The sequence below is a fragment of the Homo sapiens genome, chromosome 12, assembly GCF_000001405.40.
Source record: "Homo sapiens chromosome 12, GRCh38.p14 Primary Assembly".
Lineage (NCBI taxonomy): Eukaryota > Metazoa > Chordata > Mammalia > Primates > Hominidae > Homo > Homo sapiens.
This window is the reverse complement of record NC_000012.12, coordinates 51,304,233-51,320,454: the sequence shown is the minus strand read 5'-3', so window position 1 is coordinate 51,320,454 and position 16,222 is coordinate 51,304,233. Positions and strand designations below refer to the sequence as shown.

At 44.3% G+C, this 16,222-nt stretch overlaps 1 protein-coding gene across 8 annotated transcripts in view, besides 2 other annotated features; it reads left to right on the top strand.

Annotated features, from left to right (window-relative positions):
• BIN2 (bridging integrator 2) overlaps positions 1–16,222 on the top strand; it is a 43,631-nt gene that overhangs the window by 4,214 nt on the left and 23,195 nt on the right. For all 8 annotated transcript variants that reach the window (XR_001748746.2, NM_001290007.2, NM_001290008.2 and 5 more), the window contains exon 2: positions 6,552–6,632. Coding sequence is in view for 6 of the 8 variants with exons in the window: in NM_001290007.2 (NP_001276936.1) it covers positions 6,552–6,632 (81 nt within the window). In the remaining 2 variants the exon portion in view is untranslated. The remainder of the gene's footprint in view (positions 1–6,551; positions 6,633–16,222) is intronic.
• Positions 1,061–1,230: an enhancer, noted in NCBI's record as "active region_6376". NCBI's record gives its function as "activates an Ori minimal core promoter by ATAC-STARR-seq in GM12878 lymphoblastoid cells {active_cell/tissue: GM12878}" and the evidence as "EXISTENCE:reporter gene assay evidence [ECO:0000049][PMID:35858748]".
• Positions 1,511–1,570: an enhancer, noted in NCBI's record as "active region_6375". NCBI's record gives its function as "activates an Ori minimal core promoter by ATAC-STARR-seq in GM12878 lymphoblastoid cells {active_cell/tissue: GM12878}" and the evidence as "EXISTENCE:reporter gene assay evidence [ECO:0000049][PMID:35858748]".

The following is a 16,222-nucleotide window of genomic DNA, read 5'->3' as shown; positions in this document are numbered from 1 at the left end:
AAGGCATGGAGACTGGAGTGAGAACTACAGCTCAGCTGGAGCACAGGGAGTGGTCAGAGCAAAGGCTGGAAAAAGTATATTAGGACCTTTTAAGGAAAGCTTACTTTATCATATATCCTAAAAATAAAGATTTCCGGCCAAGCGCCATGGCTCATGCCTGTAATCCCAACACTTTGGGAGGGCGAGGTGGGTAGATCACCTGAGGTCAGGAGTTCGAGACCAGGCTGGCCAATGTGGCGAAATCCCAGGAGTTCGAGACCAGGCTGGCCAATGTGGCGAAATCCCATCTCTACCAAAAAATACAAAAATTAGCCTAGTGGTGCACACCTGTAGTCCTGGCTGCTTGGAGGCTGAGGCAGGAGAATCGCTTGAATCTGGGAGGTGGAGGTTGCAGTGAGCTGAGATTGTGCCACTGCACTCCAGCCTGGGCAATAGAGCTAGACTCTGTCTCGAAAGTAAGAAAGAAAGAGAGGGAGAAAAGGAAGGAAGGAAGGAAAGAGAAAGATTTCCTACATAACCACAAAAATTTACTGCACCTAAGAAAAAATTTTAGCAAAATTTTATAATATCAAATATCCAGGCCCTATGCAAATTACCCCAATTGAGGGAATTAACTAAAATATAATAAATGATTATGGGAGAGGCAATGGTAGGGAACTATAGCCACCAAAGATATATGTAGTAATTTTTTTTAAAGCTCTATTTCCACCCCAACCCTGATCTACAGAAAAGTTATAAATAATCAATGAACACTGGAATATTTTTCATGCAGATTCACCAAGTGTTAACGTTTTGCCACATTTACTTTTTTGCCTTGCTCTTGCTCTTTCTCCTTAAATATCTATATTCTAATTTAGCTGCCAGGCCAGATAAATTGGGACAGAATTCTCAAAGCAGGATTTTAGGGATTAGCATTATATGGGTTTTCATTAGGAAGTGATCCAAAAGTAGAATTTATTCATTGTTTCAACAAACATCTGTTTAGCATCTGTACACCCTGTTCCCTCAAGGGTCTTTCGTTGGGAAGAACACCCATGACACAGTATAAGTGCCCTAACATGTACCTGTTGCTTATGGCAACAAATTACTTTGGCTCCAGAGTACTGGGGTATGTTTCAGGGTGGTAACACCTTTTCACTTTCAGAGTTGGAGGGTGAGGAAGTTTCTCTCAGTACCCCCCAACCCCCGACCCCACACTCTCCAAGCCTTTTGGCCTTGAGCCTTTTGGGGATTGGGGAGATTGGTCTGCCCCAGTCATCCCTTACACTGACTCTAGACTGAGTTTTCTCTTTTCTGTTTTTTCTGTCCTCTCCACCTAAGAAGAACCAAATTAGGGACAAAGGAAGGGAGGGGTAGCAGAAAGGAAGTTAAGAGCTGCACTTACCACTAACAAGGTGGTTTTGCAACTTTCTGGTAGAGAACAGTGTTTTGTTAGCTGAGAAGGGTGGAGCCAGGGAGGATGGCAGACTGCACATCCAGGGCTGGGTGGCAAGTGAGGTGCAGTTAGAGACGGACAAAAACAGATATGGCCAAACCAAACAGATATGGCCAAACCAAAAATATAAGCATTTACAGGCAAGGGAGCAAAACTAAACATAATGACAGTGAGTACCTATTGAGTGCTCTTTGTAGGGCAGCTCTGAGAAAGCAATTTACATGCAAAATATCATTTAATCCTCCTGACAACTCAAGGAGATAAATATTATCTAATGGGGGAAAGGGAGTTCTGTAAACCGAGGCTCAAAAGTTTTAATGACTTGCCTGAAGACTTACAGTCAGTAAGTAGAAAGGCCAAGATAGGAGCCCATATCTGTCTAACTCCAGAATGCTTGATCTTATCCACTACAGCAAGAGCTCCAGGAATGAGACACACCCCCGGATTAAGAATGGAGATACTGGTGGCCCAGTGGCTCACGCCTATAATTCCAACACTGGGAGGCTGAGGTGGGCAGATCACCTGAGGTCAGGAATTCAAGACCAGCCTGGCCAACATGGCGAAACCCTGTCTCTACTAAAAATACAAAAATTCGCCAGGCGTGGTGGTGGGCACCTGTAATCCCAGCTACTTGGGAGGCTGAGGCAGAAGAATGGCTTGAGCCGGTGAGGCAGAGGTTGCAGTGAGCTGAGATGGCATCACTGCACTCCAGCCTGGGCGACAGAGCAAGACTTGTCTCAAAAAAAAAAAAAAAAAAGAATGGAGATATGAATCAGAGTCTCTCCACAGAACCTGCCACACTCCCCAGATCTGGGCACTCTTGCATGGCATTCAAAGCCCTTCACAATGAAACTCCAGTCTCCCTTTCTAGCTTCATTCCCCACCACTCCCCATAACAGCCATGCTGAACCAGCTAGTGAAGCTGTGTACTCCTATGATTTTCCTGATGCTGTTGTCTCTAACTGGAATCCTCTTTCTGCTGTCACCCTTTATACTCTATTTCTTTTTTCTTTTTCTTTTTCTTTTTTTCTTGAGACGGAGTCTTGCTCTTTTGCCTAGGCCGGACTGCGGTGGCGCTATCTCGGGTCACTGCAAGCTCCGCCTCCCGGGTTCATGCCATTCTCCTGCCTCAGCCTCCTGAGTAGCTGGGATTACAGGCACCCACCACCACGCCTGGCTAATTTTTTGTGTTTTTAGTAGAGACGGGGTTTCATCGTGTTAGCCAAGATGGTCTCGATCTCCTGACCTCGTGATCCACCCGCCTCTGCCTCCCAAAGTGCTGGGATTACAGGCGTGAGCCACCGCTCCCGGCCTTTTTTTTCTTTTTTAATTTAATTTAATTTAATTTTTTGTTTTGTTTTTTGAGACAGAGTTTCGCTCTGTTGCCCAGGCTGGAGTGCAATGGCGCAATCTTGGCTCACTGCAACCCTTTAACCGATTCTCCTGCGTCAGCCTCCCAAGTAGCTGGGATTGCAGGCGTGCACCACCACACCCAGCTAATTTTTTTTGTATTTAGTAGAGATGGGGTTTCACCATGTTGGTCAGGCTGGTCTCAAACTCCTGACCTCAGATGATCCACCCGCCTTGGCCTCCAAAAGTGTTGGGATTATAGGCGTGAGCCACTGCGCCTAGCCCCTATACTCTATTTCAGTCTAGAAAATCCTACTCCAAGGCTCCACTCATTCAGTCCTATATCCTCTCCTAGATCAGTCTTACTCTCCTTCCTGTTACAATTATTAAATATCTAGTTCCTGGATACTGAGAAATCCAAATGAACAAAGCAAGTACCTAAACCTTAAGGAGCCTATAGTTTAGGAGAATAAACAAATAGAAATAATAAAACAGGCCGGGCACAGTGGCTCACACCTGTAATCCCAGCACTTTGGGAGGCTGAGGCGGGCGGATCACCTGAGGTCGGGAATTCGAGAGCAGCCTGACCAACATGGAGAAACCCTATCTCTACTAAAAATACAAAATTAGCCAGGCGTGGTGGCACATGCCTGTAATCCCAGCTACTCAGGAGGCTGGGGCAGAAGAATTGCTTGAACCTAGGAGGCGGAAGTTGTGGTGAGCTGAGATCACGCCATTGTACTCCAGCCTGGGCAACAAGAGCGAAACTCTGTCTCAAAATAATAATAATAATAATAGTAGTAGTAGTAATAAAACAACAATTGGACTGTATACAAGATACAGAAGTTGCAAGCACTTGGAAGGGAGTGAATAATCGATCAATGGGATGAAGTGGATGTGGTTAAGTATCACAAAAGATACGGAGTTGAACTGGGTTTTGTAAGATACTTGCCTGGCAGACAAGGTGAGGAAAGGCATTCTAGAAAGAGGGACCAGCATCTATGACAAGCAACAGTGTGGGTTATTTGGGAAACTAAAAAAGTGTTAGGAAAGGAGACCTGCAGAGAGGAGGAGTATGAGAAGTGAAGCTTAATGTAGCCTTGGGACCTGCATGCATGCTAGAATTTGAACTATTACTTAAAGATACATATTGGACTTTTTTTTTCTCTTTTTTTTGAGACAATTTCCCTCTGTCACCCAGGCTGGAGTGCAGTGACACAATCTTGGCTCACTGCAACCTCTGCCTCACAGGCTCAAGTGATTCTCATGCCTCAGCCTCCCAAGTAGCTGGGATTACATGCGTCTGCCACCACTCCCGGCTAATTTTTTTTTTTTTTTTTTGTATTTTTAGTAGAGACGGGGTTTTACCCTGTTAGCCAGGTTGGTCTCGAACTCCTGACCTCAAGTGATCCGCCTGCCTCGGCCTCCCAAGGCCGGGCGCATGAGCCACCGCGCCTAGCCCATATTGGGCATTTAATAAAAATTTGTTGAACAGATGAATGGGGAACCATTAGAAGATTTTAAGGAGCAGCAGCATAGTAGACCTATTGCAGCAGGCCAGGTAATAAACAGTGAGGGCCTAGACTAAGGCTGTGGCAGTGAGACCAGGGGAATAAGATGGTTTCTAGAGATGGACATGGCGAGGGATTCAATGAAGAGGATGAAGAAGTAGTTGAAGGCAACTCCCGAGATTCTAACTTGGACTTCGCAGGATGATGGTATCTCCTTCCAAGATGGGGGTTATAGGCAGAAGACTCAGGGCTTTCTTACTACATGTAATTGCCTGTTTATAAGTGAGGGTCCTATGAGAACAGAGACTGGGTCTTATTCATCCACATGTCTTTTGCATTAGCACTGACATCAGTATGACGGTTTGGCTCTCAGGTTTTCTAGTTGAGAGGTGATAGACATGGATAGCATTCAGGTCTAGCTGAGTTTCAAATGCATTATATCGGGGCCTCTCAAAGTTTTCCACAAAAGCCCCCATGAGAGAAGTGTCCCTGCCCAACCTCTCTAACCTCATCTATCTAGAGGAACCTATGGCTATAGCTGAAAACAGTCTCTCAAGTAAAAAATGTCTTCAGGGCTCACATTTTACTTAAAAGCCATGCACAGTTTACAGTTTTCTCAACAATACTTGTTTTAATATAATGCTTTTCTCCTTCCTTCTCAAAAACCCACTTTAAATATTAATAACAGGCCGGGCGCAGTGGCTCACGCCTGTAATCCCAGCACTTTGGGAGGCCGAGGCGGGCGGATCACGAGGTCAGGAGATAGAGATTATCTTGGCTAACAAGGTGAAACCCCGTTTCTACTAAAAATACAAAAAAACTTAGTCAGGCATAGTGGCGGGCGCCTGTAGTCCGAAGCTAATCGGGAGGCTGAGGCAGGAGAATGGCGTGAACCCGGGAGGCGGAGCTTGCAGTGAGCCGAGATAGTGCCACTGCACTCCAGCCTGGGCGACAGAGCGAGACTCCGTCTCAAAAAAAAAAAAATAATAATAATAATAACAATGCCAGCCAGCCTAATGGCTCATGCCTATAATTGCAGAACTCTGGGAGGCTGAGGCAACAGGATCACTTGAGCCCAGGAGTTCAGCCAGCCTGAGCAACATAGTGAGACCCTGTCTCTACAGAAAATTTTTAAAAATTAGTGAGGTGTGGTGGTGTGAGCATGTGGTCCCAGCTACTGGGGAGGCTGAGGTGGGAGGATTGCTTGAGCCCAGAGAGGTTGAGGCTGTAGTAAGTTGTGATTGCACCACTGTACTACAGCCAGGGCAACAGAGCAAGACCCTGTCTCAAATAAAATAATGACAATAATAACAATGACATTCAGAAAGATATACCTTATTTCTTTCTTTTTTTTTTTTTGAGACAGAGTTTCGCTCTTGTTGTCCAGGCTGGAGTACAATGGTGCGATCTTGCCTCACTGCAACCTCTGCCTGCTGGGTTCAAGCGATTCTCCTGCCTCAGCCTCCCCAGTAGCTGGGATTACAGGCATGCACCACCATGCCCAGCTAATTTTGTATTTTTAGTAGAGATGGGGTTTATCCATGCTGGTCAGCCTGGCCTCGAACTCCCGACTTAAGGTGATCCACCTGCCTTGGCCTCCCAAAGTGCTGGGATTACAAGTGTGAGCCACCACACCCAGCCAGATATACCTTATTTCTTCTGAGCTTTATATTAATATATATCCTCTAGCTCACTACTACGTATCCCCTAGAGCTACCCCTAATTTGAAAAGAACTACAGAACAGGATTGTTTTTTCAGCAGTTTGTTGTATTCCTAATTCTTTTGGTCCAGTAAGAGTACAGCCCTTCAAGGCCAGGCATGTTGGCTCACGCCTGTAATCCCAGCACTTTGCGAGGCCAAGGCGGGTGGATCATTTGTGGTCAGGAGTTCGAGATCAGCCTGGCCAACATGGTGAAACCCCGTCTCTACTAAAAATACAAAAATTAGCTGGGCGTGGTGGTACACGCCTGTAATCCCAGCTACTCAGGAGGCTGAGGCAGGAGAATTGCTTGAACCTGGGAGGCGAAGGTTGCAGTGAGCCGAGATCGTGCCACTGCACTCCAGCCTGGGCAACAGAGTGAGACTCCGTCTCAAAAATAAATAAATAAATAAATAAATAAATAAATAAATAAATAAATAAGTACAGCCCTTGAGTTGTAAGTGAGATTCTTGACTGAAGCCAGGGTCATATGAGGCCAACATGTAAGAGAGACTTGACTATAACCTTACGGGCCTTTCTGACTTATATCCCTAGGTGCTGCAGAAATTGGGGAAAGCTGTAGAAACCAAAGATGAACGATTTGAACAAAGCGCTAGCAACTTCTACCAACAACAGGTAATCTGGAGGGTAGGGGAGGGAAGCTTGGAAGAAGAAAGGAGACACGAGGGCTGAGTGGCAGAAGAACAATAAGTTCTGCAAACTGGCAAACATCTCCACCAAGCCACCCTCCCCCTAGGGTTAAGGGCTACAGGGTGACCTGTTGCTTATCCTTCCTCGGTGAACTAAAGGAATTTACCAGCCAGGCGCAGTGGATCACCCCTATAATCCCAACACTTTGGGAGGGCGAGGCGGGCGGATCACCTGAGGTCAGGAGTTTGAGACCATCCTGGCCAACATGATGAAACCCCGTCTGTACTAAAAATACAAAAAAATTAGCTGGGCATGGTAGTGTGCACCTGTAATCCCAGCTACTCGGCAGGCTGAGGCAGGAGAATCACTTGAACCTGGGAGGCAGAGGTTGCAGTGAACAGAGATCTTGCCATTGTACTCTAGCCTGGGTGACAAGAGTGAAACTCCATCTCAAAAAAAAAGTAAAAATAAAAATAAAGGAATTTACCTTTTTTCTTGCTGCTGACTGTCATTTTGGGAACAGAGAAATCTCCCTCCCTCCTTCCCTCCCTCCCTCCCTGCCTGCCTGCCTGCCTGCCTTCCTGCCTTCCTTCCTTCCTTCCTTCCTTCCTTCCTTCCTTCCTCTCACTGCAACCTCAACCTTCCAGGTTCAGGCAATTCTCCTGCCTCAGCCTCCCGAGTAGCTGAGATTACAGGTGTGTGCCACCATGCTATGCTAATTTTTTCTTTTTATTTTTAGTACAGACAGGGTTTCACCATGTTGGCCAGGCTGGTCTCAAACTCCTGACCTCAGATGATCCACCCACCTTGGCCTCCCGAAGTGCTGGGATTACAGGCATGAGCCACTGCACCTGGCCCACAAATTCTTTACTATATAAATATCAGTTGAATTATATAGAAAATAATTTTTAAAATTATATTAATGGGTTATTAGCTATCATCTAATTCAGTAGCTGAGTGTATATCAGAATCATTTGGGAAATATTTTTAAATGCAAGTTCTCTGGGAGTAGGGCCTGGGAATCTTACTTTTGAACTTTTTGTTGTTGTTATTGGTTTACCATCTTAGATCTGATGAACTTTTTTTTAATGGAATATTTCAAATATGTACAAAGGCAGATAAACTTGTAAAATGAATTCACATGTACTCATCACTCAGCTTCCATAATTTATCCACTCATGGGCAATCATGTTTCACTGTGTCCCCACTCACTTTCTCCTATCCTTGATTATTATGAAACAAATTCTAGATATATCATTTCATTCGGCAACCTAAGTAACGAACAGAGGGAGGCTGTCTAAGAGAAAAAGATATTTATGCGGGAATAGAGCATTGCAATGGGAATATGTGTACCATAGTAAACTATGAGGTATTCAGGGAGGTAAAGGAAGACACATGTTTTCAAAGGAAAAAATGAGAAGGATTACATGATTCTTTGAAAATAATTATCATTGGCTACAAAGATCAATAATAAGGGTGACACCAGTCCAAGGTTGAACAGGCAGTTGCTGGGCAGAAGTCCTTGCAGAAATATTTTTTGTATAAGGTTGTGATGGCCTTTGTGCAAGGTTGTGGTTTTCATAGGATCTTTTGTGATAATTCTTATCAGGCAAATAAGCATGAGAATGCTCTTTTCATAGCCTTCCCTGGCTCTATTATCAGAGATTTTTTTTTAACACTAGTGACTCCATTTTGATTCCAACAACATTGACACATCTATAAAAATTTCATTATCAGGCCGGGTGCAGTGGCTCACGCCTATAATCCCAGCACTTTGGGAGGCCGAGGCGGGCAGATCACCTGAGGTCAGGAGTTCGAGACCAGCCTGGCCAACATGGTAAAACCCCATCTCTACTAAAAATACAAAAATTAGCTGGGCGTGATAGGACATGCCTGTAATCCCAGCTATTCGGGAGGCTGAAGCAGGAGAATTGCTTGAACCTGGGAGGCGGAAGTTGCAGTGAGCCAAGATCGCACCACTGCACTCCAGCCTGGGTGACAGAGTGATACTCTGTCTCAAAAAGAAAAAAAAAATTCATTATCAATCTCTAAAAATAGAACTCTTTTAAAATGTAACTACAATACCATTATCACACCTCAAAATATTTTTCTATACAACATTTACTTGGCCAGGCATGGTGGCTTATGGCTGTAATACTAGCACTTTGAGAGGCCAAAGCAGGAGAATCAATTGAGCCTAGGAATTCAAGACCAGCCTGGGCAACATAGCAAGATCCCGTCTCTACAAAAAAATACAAAAATTAGCCAGGTGTGGTAGCACATGCTTGTAGTCCCAGCTACCTGGGAGGCTGAGGTAGGAGGATTGCTTGACCCCAGGAATTCCAGGCTGCAGTGAGCTATGATCATACCAGTGCATGCCAGCCTAGGCAGCAGAGCAAGACCTGGTCTCAAAAATGAATAAAGTATAAATAAAATATGTACTCATTACAACAAATCAGAAAGTACATGGTTGGGTACAGTGGCTCACACCTCCCAGTGGGAGGCCGAGGTGGGAGGGTTGCTAAGACTAGGAGTTTGAGACAAACCCGGCAACACAGGAGACCTTAACTCTACAAAAAATAAGAAAAATTAGCTGGGCATGGTGGTGCACGTCTGTGGTCCCAGCTACTGAGCAGTGAGCTGTGATTGTGCCACTGCACTCCAGCCTAAGCAACAGAGCAAGACCCTGTCTCAAAAGAAAAAAAAAAAAGCCCCTACATAAAGAAAAAAGAAAGAAATGAATTTAAAAATTAATAATAGGCCCAACATGGTGGCCCACACCTATAATCCCAGCACTTTGGCAGCCCAAAGTGCTGAGCTCAGAAGTTTGCGACCAGCCTGGGCAACATGGCAAAACCCCATCTCTACAAAAAATACAAAAATTAGCTGGTCATGGTGGTGTGCTCCTGTATTCTCAGCTACTTGAGAGGCTGAGGCAAGAGGACTGACTGAGTCTCAGGTCGAGGCTACAGTGAGCTTTGTTTGTGCCACTGCACTCCAGTCTGGGTGACAAAGTGAGACCCTATCTCAAAAAAAAGGAAAAGAAAACAATATAAACAAAACGATTATGATTTTACATCTTCCTAAACTACAACAATGTTATTTTATATCTTTACAATTACTTTGCTATGTATGTGTATGATATCTAAGTATATCCACAATAAATAAATGTGAGATTTACTAAAGTGAGATTCTTCCATGCATATGATTTTGCAACTTGCCTTTTTCACTTACCAGTGTCATACAAATCTTTTCAGATATTTCAGATTAAATATTTCACTAAAATGTAAGTTTTAGTGCTATCTTTTAAAAAAACCAGAATCATTTCTTAATATCACAAAATATCCTGTCAGTGTCCAAATTCCCCTGATTGTGTCTTCATGCTTTTTATGGTTTGTTTAAATCAGCAACTCACTGACATGTTTAAGTTTATTAGATTTAAGGTCATATCTCTTAATCTATATTCTAATCCCTCCCTTCTTGTAGCTTATTTGTTAATGATACTAGGTTGTTTGTCCTGCAATTTCCTACAGTGTATATTTTGCTGATTGAATTCCCATGATATTGTCTAATATGTTCCTATGTCTTCCATATTTTCTATAAATGGATAGACTTAGAGGCTTGATGAGATTCAGGTTTTTGTTTTGATGGCAAGAATACTTAGTAGGTGTTATTGTATTCTTCCATCAGGAGACACATAAAATCTGGTTGTCTCCTTTTTTGTGTGATGTTAATAGTAAAGTAACAGCATATAAGTTGCAGGGCCAGGATTTAGACTTAAACTCAGCTTTTTTCACTGTGCCTCACTAGGAGGCCTCTCTGGGCCTCTTCTCAACTCTTCTTACTGTTCTATTTCCAACTCCAGGTTGAAAAGAAGAAAAATCAGTAAGTTAACACCCACTGTGGAAGGTTTCTGATTCTTGGCCCATTCTGTCCCTTTGTCCTCTCTCTAAGAGCAGATGTGTAGGTAGAAAAGGTAAGAGAAGAAGAAGCGCCATCAGGAAGAACAAGATCTGATGGGACAATCCCCTCAGAATTCCCTGTGGAAGCCCACCATTTAAACATCACTTAAGCGGGGAAAATACGTTTGAGAAATGAAATGGAGTTAGGTTGGGAATAAGGAAAAGCTTCTAGCTGGGTGCAGCAGCTCATGCCTGTCATCCCAACACTTTGGGAGGCTGAAGCGGAAGGGCCAGGGGTTCAAGACCAGCCTGGGCAACATAGTGAGACCTTGTCTCTATTAAAAAAAAAAATAAGGAAAAACTTCTTGACTGAGAGAATGATACACCTATAATAAGTGCTGATTGAACATGCTTTTGAAATTCTCTTTTTGGTAAATACATTTAACAAACATTTTATGAGCACCTGCTGTGTGCCAGGAACTGTGTTTGGTGCTGGGACTTCAGCATGAATGAGACAACCTGCCTGCCCTCAAGGCTCTTAGTTTATGGAGGAAGACAGTGACAATACAGTCACGTCTGACCTGGGGACCTGGGGTGGCAAAGACACACAGGAGGAAAAAGGACAAGGTCAAGGATTTTTTTTCTTTTTGTGAAGACGAGGTCTCACTATGTTGCCCAGGCTGGTCTCAAACTCCTAGGCTCAAGCAATCCTCCTGCCTCTGACTCCTTGAGTGCTGGGATTACAGGTGTGAGTGAAGTGTTCCAGAAGTTGAACGGGTTGGTCATGTGCCCTATCCCTCACCCACAGTCAGCTTGCAGGTAAACTTTTTATTAATAGCTTATCCTATCAATACCAAACTTCCTAGCCTGATTTCAAAGTCTTGCCATTCGCCCACATTCCTGATCACATTTCTTTTCTTTTTTGTTTTTGTTGTTGTTTTGTATTTTTAGTAGAGACGGGGTTTCACCATGTTGGCCAGGCTGGTCTCAAACTCCTGACCTCAAGTGATCTACCCACCTCGGCTTCCCAAAGTGCTCGGATTACAGGCATGAGCCACTGCACCCAGCCCTGATCACATTTCTTCTATAGGTAATTTTTCTCTGAGGCTCTACTTGCTTCCTGCTTTTCCTTCTCTTCAGTGTATTACATAGGAAGGATTATTTTCCTCAAGCAACACTTTAACCTGTTATTTTTGGTAGTGACAGCTGCTTCCAATTCATTACCTTTAAACTCAAATCTAATAATCTAGCTTCGTATTTCCCTCCTAGATCTACATTAAACCAAGCACTTTCAACACTTGATCACTTCAACACTTGGGCATGCTATTTACACTTGTTTTGCTGAGTGTCTGAGCCAATTTTTCTCCAGAAAGTAGGGAACCCCAGGACAAGAACTTTCTCCATCCTCAGTACCCCAGTCTCTTAAGACCTAGCTCTGTCCTCCTGACTGCTCAGGACAAGCTTCTGGTGTGAGTGGTTCATTAACTGAGGGTTGGGACTGTTTGTATAATGGGTGGGAAGGACTGACTCAGACTCTTTATGGCAATGCCAAGAATTCGGCAAGGATTCAGAGAGCAGAAGTGATAAAGTCATAAGATTTAGAGCTAGAACTGGCTTACCCTGCATTTATAGATGAAGAAATGGAAGGCAGAGAAGTGGAGTAACTTGCTAGTTGGTGGTAAAGTCAAGTTTCTTGACTCCCAGACAAGCGAGAACCCAAGACTATGAGAGTCACATCTGTCAGGAAAGGAGAAAGATGTTGGGATTATTCAGCCTGGATATATTCCAGGGGGGGACAGATAGGTCAGAGAAAGAAAATGATACCTGTTGCTGACCTGTCTTCTCTCTCCTTCCCCACTCCATACCACTACCCCCACCAACACACACACACACTCACTCTCACACTCATACTTCATCTTCGCAAAAGAAAGAGCAAGAGCATAAAGGAGAACTTTGTAACTAAAAGGCTTCATTCTAAAACACAGAAATGGAGCGGGGCTTTTGTGAGCTGCAGTGGAAAGCAGAAGGCATTCATTTTCTGGGCTGTGATAGAGTACCCCCTAGTTTTCAACACTGTGCATTTATGCATGGTAGCCTTGATTACTCATCTGATTTTTCAGGTTATATGATAACTAATGGGAAAAAATTAGGAACTTTATTTGTACAAATTGTGCAAGGTAATTTTTTTTTTTTTTGAGACGGAGTTTCTCTCTTGTCGCCCAGGTTGGAGTGCAGTGGTGTAATCCCAGCTCACTGCAACCTCTGTGCCCCCGGGTTCAAGCGATTCTCCTGCCTCAGCCTCCTAAGTAGCTGGGATTACAGGCGTATACTACCACACCCAGCTAATTTTTGTATTTTTAGTAGAGATGGGGTTTCACCATGTTGGCCAGGCTGGTCTTGAACTCCTGACCTCAGGTGATCTACCTGCCTCGGCCTCCCAAAGTGGTGGGATTATAGTGGGTGAGCCACCGCTCCCAGCCTGTGCAAGGTAATTTAACAGTTTTTATTACTTTATTGTATTTATTTTTGAAATAAAATTTTCATGGTGAAGTAAAAAATTGAGTCCTTTTTTCTCCTTCAAGAAAGAATTTAAAAGTCTTGTTAATTTTTTTTTTTTTTTTTTGAGTCAGAGTCTCACTCTGTCGCCCAGGCTAGAGTACGGTGTCGCGATCTCAGCTCACTGTAACCTCCACCTCCCGGGTTCAAGCCATTCTCCTGCCTCAGCCTCCCAAGTAGCTGGTATTACAGGCGTGTGCCACCACACCCAGCTAATTTTTGTGTTTTTAGTAGAGACAGGGTTTCACCATGTTGGCCAGTCTGGTCTCGATCTCTTGACCTCACAATCTGCCCGCCTCGGCCTCCCAAAGTGCTAGGATTACAGGCGTGCATCACTGTGCCCGGCCAAGCCTTGTTCATTTTTATAATCCCCAAAACTTTTTCAAGGCTCTTTAAAATCTTGATTATCACCTTTTCAAAATTCTCAAACCTCTACCTACCTCCCTTATCCACATTTAAAAGATGTTGTATACATTTAACATGTTAGGCTATCTAAGCTTTTTTCTATAAATGAAAAAGCAAGGAGGAAGTGAGATATCCTTTCTGGTAGATGCTGAGTGTTTCTGAATTTTGTTAACTGACTGAATCTGTCTCCAATATGCTATTGAAAGTGCTTTCTCATGGTCACCAGTGACCCATTACCAAATCCAGTGAATTTTACCAATTCTTCCTGCATTCTAACGTCTCTGTAGCATCTGACACTTCCTTGATTGGTTTTGATTTTTAGACAGAGTCTGCTGTGTCGCCCAGGCTGCAGTGCAATGGCGCAATTGCAGCTCACTGCAGCCTCCACCTTCCGGGTGCAAGTGATTCTCCTGCCTCAGCCTCCCGAGTAGTTGGGATTACTGGCACCCACCACCACACCTGGCTAATTTTTGTATCTTTAGTGGAGACGGACTTTCACCATGTTGGCCAGGCTGGTCTTGAACTCCTGACCTCAAGTGATCTGCCTACCTCAACCTCCCAAAATGCTAGGATTACAGATTTGAGCTACCTCGCCTGGCCTACTTCCTTGATTGTTTATATGATGTTCTCTTAATCCTCATTTGCTGTAACACAGCACACAATCACAGTTCTGTACCTGTCTGACAGTGCCTTTCACTCCTTTAAGACTGTGTCCTCATGTCCCTTCAAACTGACATTCAGCCCCTTGAGAGGGACTTTTGATCTGAAGTTTGATCAAAAGTTTGGACTAGCTTAGAAGTGAGCTCTGAGACCCAGCACAGTGGCTCACACCTGTAATCCCAGCACTTTGGGAGGCCGAGGTGGGCAGATCACGAGGCCAGGAGATCGAGACCATCCTGGCTAACACAGTGAAACCCTGTCTCTACTAAAAATACAAAAAATTAGCCAGGCGTGGTGGCACACACCTGTAGTCCTAGCTATGCAGGAGGCTGAGGCAGGAGAATTGTCGCTTGAACCCAGGAGGCGGAGGTTGCAGTGAGCCAAGATCACGCCACTGCACTCCAGCCTGGGCGACAGAGCGAGACTCCATCTCAAAAAAAAAAAAAAAAAAAAAAAAAGAAAGAAAACAGTGAGCTCTGGAGGCAAAAAAAATGGATGAAATAACTAGTCCAGTTTTCTTTGATTTGACCAAGTAGACCTAAATTTTCTGCTGCTAAAATTAAGTAAATAGTGACCTTTCCCCAAAGATTTCCACAGGAAAAATTTTGTCACTAGATAGAATTTTCTGAATTTTCCTTTTTTTCTCATTTTTTTTTTTTTTGAGATGGAGTTTCATTCTGTTGCCCAGGGTGGAGTACAGTGGTGCGATCTCGGCTCACTGCAACCTCTGCCTCCTGGGTTCAAGTGATTCTCCTGCCTCAGCCTCCTGAGTAGCTGAGATTACAGGTGCGTGCCACCATGCCTGGCTAATTTTTGTATTTTTAGTAGGGACAGGGTTTCACCACATTGGTCAGGCTGGTCTAGAGCTCCTGACCTCGTGATCCTCCTGCCTTGGCATCCCAAACTGCTAGGATTACAGGCGTGAGCCACTGCGCCCAGCCTTTCCCATAATTTTTTATTTTTATTTATTTATTTATTTTTGAGATGGAGTTTTGCTCTCGGCTCACTGCCACCTCTGCCTCCTGGGTTCAAGCGATTCTCCTGCCTAAGCCTGCCAAGCAGCTGGGATTACAGGTGCCTGCCGCCACACCCTGCTAATTTTTTATATTTAGTAGAGATGGGGTTTCACCATGTTGGTCAGGCTGGTCTCAAACTCCTGACCTCGGGTGATCCACCTGCCTTGGCCTCCCAAAGTGCTGGGATTACAGGCGTGAGCCACCGTGCCTGGCCCCATACTTTTTTATACTTTTGTTTTTTGTTTTGTTTTGAGACGGAGTCTGGCTCTGTCGCCCAGCCTGGAGTACGGTGGCGTGATCTCAGCTCACTGCAAGTTCTGCCTCCTGGGTTCATGCCCATTCTCCTGCCTCAGCCTCCTGAGTAGCTGGGACTACAGGTGCCCGCCACCACACCCAGCTAATTTTTTTGTATTTTTAGTAGAGATGGGCTTTCACCGTGTTAGCCAGGATGGCCTTGATCTCCTGACCTCGTGATCCGCCCGCCTCGGCCTCCCTAAGTGCTGGGATTACAGGCGTGAGCCACTGCGCCTGGCCAGTTTTTTACACTTTTGGTATCATCAATAGTCTATCAAGTAATGAATACAGCAATTAACAAATGAACAAATTCACAACAAGTATTTTATGGTGTACTGAATAATGCAGCTTGGCTTTCAAGTACAACATCCCCTGAACTGGTCTGTTCTGATCTGTAGGCTGGCTCCCTAGAGTTCCCTTGAAGTGGGCTGCACCTCTCAGTCCATCCCTACAGTCCACAGTCCTGAAGTCAGGTTCCAGAACGTCAGATGTCTGGCCTTAAATTCCCAACCAACTCTTCAAAATGAGTTTACACATAGGAAGGAGACCAAAATGGGAAGAGGGCCTAAACACCATAAGGAACAATTGAGGAAACCTGTGAGAAAGGCTTGGTCAAGGGCACATGCAAGTTGTCTTCAAGCATGTGTGGAAGAGAAATTAGATCTACTCTATGAGTACAGAAGGCCAACCCAAGACTAATAGGAAAAAGTTTGTTTGTTTGTTTTGAGATGGAGTCTTGCTC